The sequence below is a fragment of the Homo sapiens genome, chromosome 15, assembly GCF_000001405.40.
Source record: "Homo sapiens chromosome 15, GRCh38.p14 Primary Assembly".
In the NCBI taxonomy this organism is placed as follows: domain Eukaryota; kingdom Metazoa; phylum Chordata; class Mammalia; order Primates; family Hominidae; genus Homo; species Homo sapiens.
The window spans coordinates 75,861,982-75,875,450 of record NC_000015.10 but is presented as its reverse complement, the minus strand read 5'-3'; the positions used below and the strand labels follow the sequence as shown (position 1 = coordinate 75,875,450).

Sequence of the window (13,469 nt, the reverse complement as noted above, 5' to 3'; positions counted from 1 at the left end):
CATGCGACTGGTTTCAGTTTTTCAGTGCAGGGACATCTCTAAAGATGAAAACACATCAATATCTTATCATAAGACTAAATACAAACGGAACTATTTTTTGGTCACGTGAAATTAAAGATTTTAAACATTGCACTATACTTTGAAGGGGGGAAAAATCAAGTTTCCTAGCTCATTTCATATCTACAAAATATGAGAAGTTTTTCCTATCTCTAAAATATGAAGCATACCTATTTCACACGGTGGCTATGAAGACTAAATGTGAAGATATGTGAAGTATAAAGTACTTGGCATAGTATCCATCATGCAAAAGTGTTCAGTAACTTATAGTTGTTTTGACTATAACTCAAACTGGAATCGATCACAAGACATAAAGTACAGTCATCATTAATTCAAATGACAAACTTTGTTTTTTAAGTAATCAAGATATGGGGGCTTGACTAAATTTCTTTGCTCTACTAAAAATTATAAATTAGATTAATATATAAATTAGACTGAAGGAGGGAGAGTAATCTACCTGTTTTCAACATTTGGCATCTACTTACCTAACAATTCATTCCCTGTTTTGGGGAACCTGTGCCCAAGACAAAGTAACTGCTACTCAGATTTCACGGAGTTGGTCAATAGCTCTAACACAAGGCAAAAAGTAGTAAGTGTTCAGACAATCATTTGATGTTTCCCTACTCTGAGCATTTTATATATATACACACATCATTTTCATTTATTTTTGATAGCAATCATCCAAAAGGTATGTACTGTCTAGCCATATTTTAGAGCTGAGGAAAGTGAAACCATAAATTGTGTGTTTGTCACCAGACTCAGTGTTCTTTTCACATCCTGCTGCTTCACGTAAAAGAGATATTAAGTTGTGGCCGGACACAGTGGCTCACACCTGTAATCCCAGCACTTCGGGAGGCCAAGGCAGGTGGATCACTTGAAGTCGGGAGTTCAAGACCAGCCTGGCCAACATGGTGAAACCCTGTCTCTACTAAAAATACAAAAATTAGCCAGGTGTGGTGGTGTACACCTATAATCCCAGCTGCACAGGAGGGTGAGGCAGGAGAACTGCTTGAACCTGGGAGGTGGAAGCTGCAGTGAGCTGAGATCATGCCACCACACTCCAGCCCGGGAGACAGAGCGTAACTTCATCCAAAAAAAAAAAAAAAAGGATGTTAAGTCAAAAGAGAAAAATTACTTTTGGTTGGGTCAGAGCAGGACAGACCAAAGTCAGCTTCACGAAGGAGAAAGAACTTGAATTGTATTTTGTCGGAGAGGATGAATTTGAATATACAGATCCCATGAGAGGAAGGTAAGCAGAGAAAACAGCATAAACAGGCCGGGAAGGGGCAAATACAGGGATCAGCAGGTGGTTCCAGGATATGAAGAGCAGATGAACAGGGTAAAAAGTGGCTATCTATAGATAAGAAACGTAATCTACAGCAACAAAACATATGACTAAGGCTAGGCACGGTGGCTCATGCCTGTAATCCCAGTAGTTTCGGAGGCCAAGATGGGAGGATGACTTGAACTCAGGTGTTCAAGACCAGCCTGGGCAACAGAGAGTCCTCATCTCTACTAAAAATAAAAAAAACTAGCCTGGCATGGTGGCATGTGCCTATAGTCCAAGCTACTTGGGAGGCTGAGGCAGCAGGATTACTGGAGCCTGAGAGATCAAGGCTACTACACTGAACTATGATTGTGCCACTGCACTCTAGCCTAGGCGACAGAGCAAGACCCTGTTTTAAAACACACATGACTGAATCCACCACTAAGGCAGAAATGGAGGAAGAGGGCAGCTGAGATGGGCATGTTAATGAATTGCCTGGTATTAACTACAATTATTTAACCACAAAAGTCCAGGTTCTAGATATCTACACACACTTACATTTAAATGGTCTTGCCTTTGAGTCTTCCTAATTTTCTCTAATATTGCCAAATTTTCTTTTTCAATTCCTTCATCCTCTGACTTTTTCCCACTAATAGGCTCTTCTTCCTTCATCTCATAGTGATCTAAGTCTTCTATATCCTACAAAGAGACGAAAAATGTTAGCTTATTCAACCTATTTTTCTTCAGCAGTTTCTTATGCCAAAATAACATTAAATTATTCTTGACTCAAATGAGGAACAAGAAACAAAATGTAACTATCCTATAGGGAGAGAGAAAAAGCCCCCACATTCCATTCAAGAGGCTCCCACCTTTTATATCCTATATTTTATTTAAAATCTAGACTCTGGGTAAAGCAGATTTAAAAGCTTTACAAAATCATAACTATTACCAAATAAGCCATCTTCTAAATCTCCTATTAAGAGGAACCTTTAAAACAGTTTAGCAGCAGGTGTCAAGAACCTTAAGTGTTCCTAGTTTGTTCCAGAAACTCAACTTCTAGAATTGTATTCTAAGAAACTAGTTTAAACTATAAACACTAATTTAGGCATAAGGATACCTATTTCAACCTTGCAGCCACAAAAATAAACACAAAATCTGCATGTGCAAAATAGCAAAATATTAAGAGGCCACTGAAATACTAACATAGCCTAATTTCTCCTGTAACGAAAAACTTTAAAATGAAAAACAATACAAAAAAGAATAGAAAGAATTTCAGTTACGCTGAAATAAGCACAGAAAAAGAAAGACCAGAAGAACTTACATTGAAATGTTAATTTCAGTTAATCTTAGTTATCTCTGGAGGCATTTAATGCTTTCCCCTAATTTCCAAGTTTTATGTAGTAAGCATCTATTGACGTTTATAACTAGAAAAAAAGTTAGAAAAAGAATTTTATCTCAGGTCCTCAGGAGGCTGAGATAGGAAGATCATGTGGGCCCAGGAGTTTGAGGCTGCAGTGAGCTATGATCATGCTACTGTACTCCAGCCTGGGTGACAGAGCAAGACTCTATCTCAAAAAAAAAAAAAAAAAAAAAGGAAAAGAAAACAAAGAATTTGAATACCCCTAGACCAATATCTTTATTCACATCATTCTGCTCCCTTCTTTCCCGTACTATCTGTTCTTACACATATATAAATCTATGCAGAATTTAAATCCTAACTTTTTGCAATTACCTTATTTCTCTACTTCAATTGCCAAAATCTCTAAAGGAGTAGTTTATACGCATCTCGGCTTTTTTTTTTTCCCCAAGCAGGCTAATTCACTGATTTCTAGACCAGGTTAATCACTACCTTCTATCCATTCAATAGGCCTCCTTTTTGGGTTTATTTTTTTATTTTTTGAGATGGAGTCTCGCTCCGTTGCCCCGGCTGGAGTACAGTGACAAGATCTCGGCTCACTGCAGCCTTCACCTCCCCGGCCTCCTTTTTGGAATGCCATCTCTTCAAGCCCTATAACGTTCTGTTCTCACTCAAACTCTGCCCATGACTCCATACTTCATTGAGCTCCCTTCTCCCTGTGTGCACCTTTCAGCCCTGATCTTCCATCCTACATGTTTTCCTCACAATTCTCACAAATGCCTTTAGCCTGTATTTCCTCCTATACCTTCAACCTCAGTCATGTTCCCATCCACGAAATTTCTTTTTCTGAGTATTAATCAGCACATCCCAAACAGAATTCAACATTATCTTTCTCAAACAATATCCTCAGCACACTATTCCCTGCTTAAGGCCTTCCTATCAATAATTATGGGGAAAAGCAAGACAGATCAGCCTGTTACTGTGTCTGTGTAGAAAGAAGTAGACATAGGAGACTCCATTTTGTTCTGTACTAAGAAAAATTCTTCTGCCTTGAGATTCTGTTAATCTTTGACCTTACCCCCAACCCCATGCTCTCTGAAACATGTGCTGTGTCAAACTCAGGGTTAAATGGATTAAGGGCTGTGCAAGATGTGCTTTGTTAAACAAATGCTTGAAGGCAGCATGCTCCTTAAGAGTCATCACCACTTCCTAATCTCAAGTACCCAGGGACACAAACACTGCGGAAGGCCGCAGGGACCTCTGCCTAGGAAAGCCAGGTATTGTCTAAGGTATCTCCCCATGTGATAGTCTGAAATATGGCCTCGTGGGAAGGGAAAGACCTGACCGTCCCCCAGCCTGACACCCGTAAAGGGTCTGTGCTGAGGAAGATTAGTATAAGAGGAAGGCATGCCTCTTGCAGTTGAGACAAGAGGAAGGCATCTGCCTCCTGCCCGTCCCTGGGCAATGGAATGTCTCGGTATAAAACCCGATTGTACGTTCCATCTACTGAGATAGGGAAAAACCGCCTTAGGGCTGGAGGTGGGACATGCGGGCAGCAATACTGCTTTGTAAAGCATTGAGATGTTTATGTGCATGCATATCTAAAAGCACAGCACTTGATTCTTTACCTTGTCTATGATGCAAAGACCTTTGTTCACGTGTTTGTCTGCTGACCCTCTCCCCACTATTGTCTTGTGACCCTGACACATCCCCCTCTCGGAGAAACACCTACAAATGATCAATAAATACTAAGGGAACTCAGAGGCTGGCGGGATCCTCCATATGCTGAACGCTGGTTTCCTGGGTCCCCTTATTTCTTTCTCTATACTTTGTCTCTGTGTCTTTTTCTTTTCCAAGTCTCTCGTTCCACCTAACGAGAAACACCCACAGGTGTGGAGGGGCAACCCACCCCTTCAAATAATCACACCAAATAGAAACACACCTGTCTCGAATTCAAGACTTTTAACCATCTGCCTTTTCTAGCCAATCTTGTTTTTTCATGACTTCCACCCATCAACCCTCCTCAAAAGAAAAGTATCCAATGAACTCAAACACACTATGTCCAAGGTTGTTCTGAGCCTGTTCCCATATTATTTTAGGAGCCTAGAATATCTTCTTTCCACTTGTCCTAATCTGACATCTCCAAAGTCCAGTCTACCTTTCTAGGTTTCCCTCCATGTTGCGGCCCCTTGTTTATTATCTTATGAGGGGAAAAAGAAAAAGTTCATGAACTTTAGTACAATGGCTGCTTCATGGTAAACTGGGCGCACAAAAAAGGTTTAATGTTTTCATGCAGTTTATTCCACCTAAGCTAAACTGCATAAAAACATTAAACTCTCATTCTAACTTGACAGTTTTAAGAGTATTTTACTCCCAGACTCATAAAACAAGCCTACAGCCAGGCACAGTGGCGCATGTCTATATGTCTATAATCCCAGCACTTTGGGAGGCCAGTGGTGGATCACTTGAGGTCAGGAGTTCACGAGATGAACCTGGACAAAACAGCAAGACCCAATCTCTACAAAAATTTTTTTAAAAAGCTTGGCATGGGGCACACGCCTGTAGTCCCAGCTACTCAGAAGGCTGAGGTGTGAGGATTGCTTGAGTCCAGGAGTTTGAGGTTGCAGTGAGCCGTGATCACACTACTGCACTCCAGCCTGCACCACAGTGAGACCCTGTCTCAAAAAAACAAAACAAGCCTACAACACTGCTTCTTTAGTTCTGAAGCATTCTAAAAGCACATTTTAGATTAAAAATTTCCAAATCAAGAAAATAAAAGCATAATTATAAGACCCAAAACAGAAAAAAAAATTTTTTTTTAAATCAAGACCATGGAATTCACATATCCTCTATTTGGTCAACGCAGAAACAAAGATCTTTGTTCTGAAGTTTGAATTTAAATGCAGAGCTTCAGAGCTTGAAAACATCTAAAATTATATCCATGACTGACAACTGGCCTAAGCTCAATGTCTTTGGAATGCACTCTACTAAATTTGCTATGATTTAAATGTGCTCCCTCCAAAATGCAGGTGTTGCCAATGTGATGCTATTAAGAGGTAGGACCTTTAAGAGGTGATTAAGCCAAGAGGGCTCCTTCCTCCTTAATGGGATTAAGGCCCTTACAAATGAGGCTTCACACAATGGACTAGCTTGCTCTCCTGCCCTTCTGCCTTCTACCATGTGAGGATGCAACAAGAAGGTCCTCAGACACCCAATGTTGGTATCTTGATCTTGGACTTCCCAGCCTTCAGAACAGTGAGAAAATAAATGTCTGTTCTTTATAAATTACCCAGTCTCCAGTATTCTGTTAAAATAGTGTAAACCAGATTAAGACAAAATTCTTTGATGATTTTTCAACAAGAGACAGTTTCACTACTTCTGGCGAGTAGTCCCTAAAATGTTCTCAAATTCTCCTTTTATGCAAACATAAAATTTTTTAAACTTAGTAGTTCCTCTTCCTAAAAATAACCAAATACAGATTAAGTACTGATTAGTATTAAACATAAATATAATTTTGGTGCTAAATGTTAAAAGCTTTTGTTTTCCAGGAAATCAAATCCAAAGAATTCAGATAAATTTGCTCAAAGGCATATCATTAGTTAGAGGTAAAGCCAGAGTTGGGAAATTATATTCCATTCCAAACACAATGTGCTTTCAATTATTCCACATTAATAGTAGTCTATAAAAAAGATTTGAGAATTACTCAAATGTTCAAAAATGAAGAAATTTATGAACTCTTCTTTTATATAAAATACCTACTTCAGCCATCTCTTCTTCTTCTTCCTCTTCTTCTGAAGTCACTTCTTCTGTTGTCCCATTCTGAAACAGAGAAAGAATCTGCCAGGGCTATACAGAACAAATATGCACAGGCTGAGTACATTAGAAGACTGGTGCCACAAACTCTCAAACATCTGTCACTGGAGTCCCACTACCAGACAGTTTATTAAAATTAAAATGTTTATCTTTAAATCCAGCTTTGACTAACAAATAAGTTATCAGCTTTTAAAAATGAAACAATTTTGAACAATTCAACTTAATGGCTGCCTTAGGAACAAAGAAAAGCAATCAAATATAAAGCAAAACAGAAAAAAATGTTAAAACATAATCTAATTTAAAATAAGAAAACATTTTACTTATATGGCTATATGCATAAGATCAATGGCTTATTTAAAATAAAATCTCCCAAACTACCGATTCCTTAAAATAGCTCCCTTTTTAACTTTGGAAAGCCTGAATCATTTACATAAATTCAATTGCCTTACATTTTGAACAGTCAGATGTGTTATTGATAATAGACATTTCACAAAACTAAGAATTATGAAATGATTACCACCTCACTAAAAAGCAAATTTTCTTTTTAAAAACATTTTACAACAAAATACTTCCCTACAAGACACAACTTAACCAATTTACACAATTTACAATTTATCAAGTTCAGAAATGAATTTGATGGGGTTTTAGGAAGGACTTTCATATCCATTTTTGACAAAGTTCAAAAGGTAAGCCCTCGCCAGGACACTGTTTATACATGCATCTTTAACCATGAAGGCCAGTTCAGGTTAGAACACAGAATATGTAAAAGATCACGAAACCAGGATCCAGAGATCAAGTAAGACCAACAAAGGTCTCGGCAGTATCTAAGCATCTGTTATTAGACACTCTGATGGAATAATTCTCAAGAAAAACAAACCCATGATCACAGAGGGTATTAGAACTCTTCTGGATTAGTCAGCTGGAGAATTCCATGTAAACATACCCATGCAGAATTAACTTGTATTTCCTTTAAATCTGCATCTCTTTAGACACATTGTCTTCTAAAAACTAATGGAAAATGGAAGCAAGCAGCTTCCAAAATGTAATTCTCCCTTTTTTCATTTCCCTAAATTGTTATATTCCAAATCAAACTATTCTGGGTATCTAAAGACTATATACCTAGCCTAAAACTCCCAAAGAGTTTGGTTGCATCAACGATTGAAAGAGCATTTTCGAAATGCCAATTTCAAAGCCTACCCAGAGAATCTGTTTTTCAAAAGCTCTCTGAGGTGATTCTCACATGCATCTGGGTCTGTCACCATCAGCCCAGTTACTATCCCTCATTTTAAAATGAGAAAACTGAGCCCCCATCACCTCAAAAAGGGGAAGTAATTTAATCAAAACAAAAAGTGAGTTAATCGTGGGAAACCCTAAGATGATTTCATTTCAAGATGTGGCCTGGTCCTCTTTTCAAAACCCCACTGAAATGACAGAATTTTATAAAAAAAGAGTAGGTCTGCCGCAGTAGCAGAAAAACAAATACAAGGAGAATACCCTTAGTGAACTAAAACTATAAGGACATGCTGGAAGATACAAAGGAGATGGAATCAGACTGCTGGGCTTGAGAAAGTCACAGACTCAATCCAAATAATGCAGGGACCACTTTTTTTCAGAAGAATCAGACATTCTTTACTGTACTTGTCCCATCTACAGTTGGTAAGGATCACTCTCCTATATAGGAACCCTATCTTGATGGCCTCTATGAGTGTCAAAACCAGACAGAAAAGACAGAGAGTGTTTTTAGTATAACTCAATGCAGCAGCAAAATCTTAGACTCCACCTCTTCCTTTTAGCTCAGGAGCTGGAAAGCTCACCAGCCAGCACCTCCCCATCCTCATGCCATAGGAAGAGCACAGGTCTGCAAACCAGGAGGGGGAGGCCACAGTAGAAAAGAGTGACAATTCTGAAGACACTCAGGTCAACAATGGATACTGATCAAGGGTATATCTCATCTATAAATGAGGAGATAACCAGGTATCACCAGAGAGCTGAAGAAAATTAGCAATCTGAAAGTGCCAAGTCAAGTAAGCACAATTGATCTGAAGCATTACTAATGAAGGAAATAAATAGAATTTTAAAACCTAATTGGGATCTTTAGCAGTAATTGGGAAGATACTGCATCCACAAAATAAAAAACAGATTACTATGCAAGCACAATTCTAGAAAGTAAAAATAAGATCCCCTCCACCCCCAAAAAACCACTTGTAGAAGGGCCAGAGTACTATGGACTTGACCCAACAAGGTATTTATGATTAAGAAAAACAAACAGTGACATTTCCTTAGAACAGAGAAAAAAAGGAGATGGGGGAGAAAACAGAAGAGATGTAAGTAAGAGAACAGTTAAGGGACATTGAAGATATAGAGATCTAACATTCATCCAGAGGATGAAGGGGAATAAAAAGAAACAAAAGAGACAAGTGCTGCTGAGCTAAAGAAAGACTTTAGAATATTAAGTGGCTCTGAAAGCCCCATAGGAATACTGAAGGCCGGACACGGTGGCTCATGCCTGTAACACTTTGGGAGGCCAAGGCAGGAGGATCACTTGAGCCCAGAAGTTTGAGACCAGCTTGGGCAACATGGTGAAAACACATCTCTACAAAAAAATTTTAAAAAGTAGCCATGCACGGTGGCAGTGCACACCTGTAGTCCCAGCTACTCAAGAGGCTGAGGTGGGAGGACTGCTTATGCCCAGGAAGGTAGAGGCTGCAGTGAGCTGTGATCACACCACTGCACTCTAGCCTGGGCAAGAGAGCAAGACCCTGTTTCAAAAAAAAAAAGTAAAACTGAAAAGTAAAACCCCCACACTTTACAGTTACAGAGAAAATCATACCAACTACCAGAAAGAAAAAATAAAATACACAGAAAGAATTAAGAATGAGATAGGCATCAGACTTTTCATTTGTAACAAATATCAGAAGATAAAAGCGTAAAGAACTGGGAATAGACTCAATTATGAACTTAGAATTCTATATCTAGCTCCATCAAGACAGGAAGCATTATCTGTGTACGTTCACCTCCAGATTCTCCACACCAATGTGGAATACTTTATACAGAGTCAGATATTTGTTGAACAAATAACAGACAGCAAGTATTCAAGGGACACTCTCCATGCACATCCCTTTAAACCCTTTCTAGGTTAAAAAAAAAAAAAACAACCAGATATTATTCAGGGATATACTTGAGGGGCAGGGAGCAGGACACATAATACAAGGAGCAGCAATAAGAAGCAAAGACAGCAGTAACACCAATAGTGAAGTCTAAACGATTACTGATAATGCAGCTGAAAGGTCACAGGCCATATTCTCTGACCATATTGATGCACTAAAAATAACTGAAAAGCCATCTGAAAATGCTTTTTAAAAAGTTTTTTTTTTCCTAGATAACTCTTGAGTAAAAGAAGAAATTGATCCTCATGCCCCTAAGTATGTGCCCCAGAGAAATGCTGGCACAGGGGTACCATGAAATACAAGCAAGAATGATCACAGCAGCATTCGCTGTTCCTAACACTGGAAACAACCCACATGTCTGTATCCAGTCAAGGGGATAAATGGTAGGGTGTATTCAAACAATGGAATAAATACAGCAATGCAAAAGAACTATAGCTACACACAATAGGAACAAATTTCACACACAATGTTAAGCACAACAAAGGTACGAAAAAATACATACAGTATGATTTTCAAAAGTTCAGCAATAGGCAACACTACACTGTATTGTTCAAGGATGCATACATAAGTGGTAACACTAGAGAAATGTAAGGAAAGATGAGTGCACAGAGGAACAGTGATCAGGAAGAAGCCTGCAGAAGGTTTCTGTAGTGCGAGCAATGTTCCTTCTCTTCACCTGGGTGCTGGCTAGGTGTTGGCTCCCAAGTATTCACTCTAATTATGAGTTACACTAAGCTTATGTTTTACATATTTTTAATACATGTCATCTCTCACAATAAAAAGTTTTAATAGTATGGCAATGTGAACAAATGATGGAATAAACTTACTTAGAAAACAGATTTTAAAACTTGTGCAATAAACTCAAACAGCACCCAAAGAAAATGTATACCCTTACATGTTTGTTTAAAAAGCAATTTAAATTACATTAATCCACTAAACTAGAAAAAGCAAAATAAAAAGGGGAAATAATTAAGACATAAGCAAAAAATGAAAAAGAAAACACTAGATTTAAAAAATAAAACTAAAAGAGGATTCTTTCACAAGACTAATAAAACAGCCAAGCCTCTGATAAGTAATCAAGATAAAGAAAACTTTTGAAGTGAAAACGGCATATAGCCACATGTGAATATGATGCAACAGCTTAGAAGTATACATGAAGCGATCCTTTTTTTTTTTTTTTTTAGAATCTACAGTTACTAAAACTGAAGAAGTGGAAAATCTGGAGACCGATACATAGAAAAAGGAAAAAGACAGTCAAAGACTCATCCTCCAGATTGGAGTTTTATTTAAACCATGGTTTCTCAACCTCAGCAATATTGACGTATTGGGCCAGACAATTCTTTGTGGAGGGTTCTCCTGTGTGTTGTAGGATGTTTAGTGACATCCCCTCTACCTAAGAAATGCCAACAGCACCCCTACCATGACCAGTTGTGAAAACCAGAAATGGCTCCAGATATTTCCAAATGTCCCACGGGAGGCAAAAATCTCCTCCAGTTGAAAATTACTGTGTAAACTAGATCTACACCCTAGATCTTAGGAAAAAAGATGTAAAGCTTTCCAAGTCACCCCTGCATACCCTTGATACTGAAATAAGAGCCTAAAAGGAAACAAAGTATAACCTTACTTAATATAGAAGTAAAAATCCAAAAATAAAGTATTACCATATCCATTCTAACGGTGTTTACTATAGAAATGCAAGGATGATTCAAAATTAGGAATTCATAAATTATATCCCTATACAGAATCGTGGGCACAATCATGAAAAACCAGGCAGCTCTCTATGCATTAAGTCCATGTGATATTCAGTGAAAAACACAAGCTGCAGATGTCTTACAGAAGGAAAAGTGAGGGGCCAGGTGCAGTGGCTCACCCCTGTAATCCCAGCACTCTGGGAGGCCGAGGTGGGCAGATCACAAGGTCAGGAGTTCGAGACCAGCCTGGCCAACATGGTGAAACCCCTCTACTAAAAAATACAAAAAATTAGCCGAGCGTGGTGGTGCACACCTGTAATCCCAGCTACTGGGGAGACTGAGGCAGGAGAATCGCTTGAACCCACGAAGCGGAGGCTGCAGTGAGCCAAGATCGCACCATTGCACTCCATCCTGGGCGACAGGCGAGACTCCAACTCAGAAAAAAAAAAAAAGACTGGCCAGGTGATCATAGATGTTTATAAAATATCAGCTGGCCGTAGTGACATGTGCCTGTAATCCCAGCTACTTGGAAGGCTGAGAGGCAGGAGAATCACTTGAACCCGGGAGGCAGAGGTTGCAGTGAGTTGAGATCGCGCCACTGCACTCCACCCTGGGCGACAGAGAGACTCCGTCAAAAAAAAAAAAGAAAAACAAACAAACAAAAAAAACAGAAGGAAAAGTGAATACTGAACACATATTTCTCCCATCTGCTCTTTGTCCTGAGGCTCCACTAGAATTACGGTGAAGAATAAACACACAATTACAAAAAAGGAATGGGGTTACCGGCAGACCAGAACTCACCTCCACTAGACAATGACAGTAAATGGAAAATAGTTAATTAATGGAGCAAAGCCAACAAAGGTGGAGGTTAGGGGGATATTGACAGCAAGAAGGCAAATTTATCTCACAGCGCCCTGAAGAGGCTCTAGACTCAGACACTAGGTACCCCAGAAAGTGGGACAGATAGGCAAGACTGTAAACAGATTAACAAAAGCCTATATACAGAACACATTTTCCAGGCCCTGAAACACACTGTTCTCCCACATCTCCTTAAGCAGAACCTAAGCAAACATACATCTACCTCAGGCAAAAGAACACAGATTTCATCTCCAGAGGAATGGAGTAGTTCCAGCCATCATTTATGATTGCACCAGGAGATAAGATAGAGGGGTAGGGAATAACAATTGGGAATCAGCCTAAATTCCCACTAAAAGCTACCAGTCTTGGCCACAAAGAACTCCCAATCAGTCTTTCAGTCCTTTTTTTTTTTTTTTTTTTTTTTTTGAGATAGGGTTCCATTCTGTCACCCAGGCTGGAGTACACTGGCATGATCACAGCCCACTGCAGCCTTAACCTCATAGGCTCAACTGATCCTCCTGCCTTAGCCTCTTGAGTAGCTGGGACTACAGGCAGGTGCCACCATACCCACCTAATTTTTTATTTTTTGTAAAGATGGGGTCTCAATATGTTGCCCAGGCTGGTCTTAACTCTTGGGCTCAAGTGATCCTCCCACCTCAGCCTCCCAAAGCACTCAGATTATACGTGTGAGCCACCACACCCAGCCTCCCAATCAGTCTTTTAGTACCTCTCTCAAATATGAACAAAAAAGGGAATTAAAAGACTACAAATGATGAGCAACATAGAATAGATACCTGAGGAAAGGTTTAAAAAAAAAAAAAGACCAAAATAAACTAAGAAAAAAATTTATTAAAGAAAAAAGAGATGCTAGGGAGAGGGCCAAAGAGTATCAAAATAGCTCCTTAAAGACACTTATGAATACAACCATGGAACAAAAATAGAATATGAATAAAAAATAACCAGCGAAGAAAAGGTTCTTAGAACTCAGGGCTCATCTTGGGAGTTGGTCCTCAATGAACCACACCTCCTGTCATCACGTCCTTGGATGGGCCCATCCCACAGTGAGTCTGGGTTGGCCCTGAGACTCACTTTAACCTACAGAATTTGGTAGAAATTATATTGGACCTGTTCCAGATCTAAGCCTTAAGAACACCTGGCAGCTCCACTTCTGTGCTTCTGGAAGCCAAAAATAGGAACTGACTATCCTCTTGGAGAAAGAGAAGCCACATGAAGAGGCCCGAGAGGATGAGACGCTATGC

At 39.3% G+C, this 13,469-nt stretch overlaps 1 protein-coding gene across 15 annotated transcripts in view, besides 1 other annotated feature; it reads right to left on the bottom strand.

Annotated features, from left to right (window-relative positions):
* UBE2Q2 (ubiquitin conjugating enzyme E2 Q2) overlaps positions 1-13,469 on the bottom strand; it is a 57,632-nt gene that overhangs the window by 25,628 nt on the left and 18,535 nt on the right. For 14 of the 15 annotated variants that reach the window (NM_173469.4, XM_005254787.3, XM_005254788.3 and 11 more), the window contains 2 exon segments: positions 6,441-6,500; positions 1,883-2,023 (listed from right to left, as the gene is read on the bottom strand). In NM_173469.4, the coding sequence (NP_775740.1) occupies positions 1,883-2,023; positions 6,441-6,500 (201 nt within the window). 15 annotated transcript variants of the gene reach the window in all.
* Positions 3,164-4,113: an enhancer, noted in NCBI's record as "NANOG-H3K27ac-H3K4me1 hESC enhancer chr15:76163679-76164628 (GRCh37/hg19 assembly coordinates)". NCBI's record gives its function as "activates a minimal SCP1, AML or CMV promoter by ChIP-STARR-seq in naive H9 embryonic stem cells {active_cell/tissue: H9 hESC(naive)}" and the evidence as "EXISTENCE:reporter gene assay evidence [ECO:0000049][PMID:30033119]".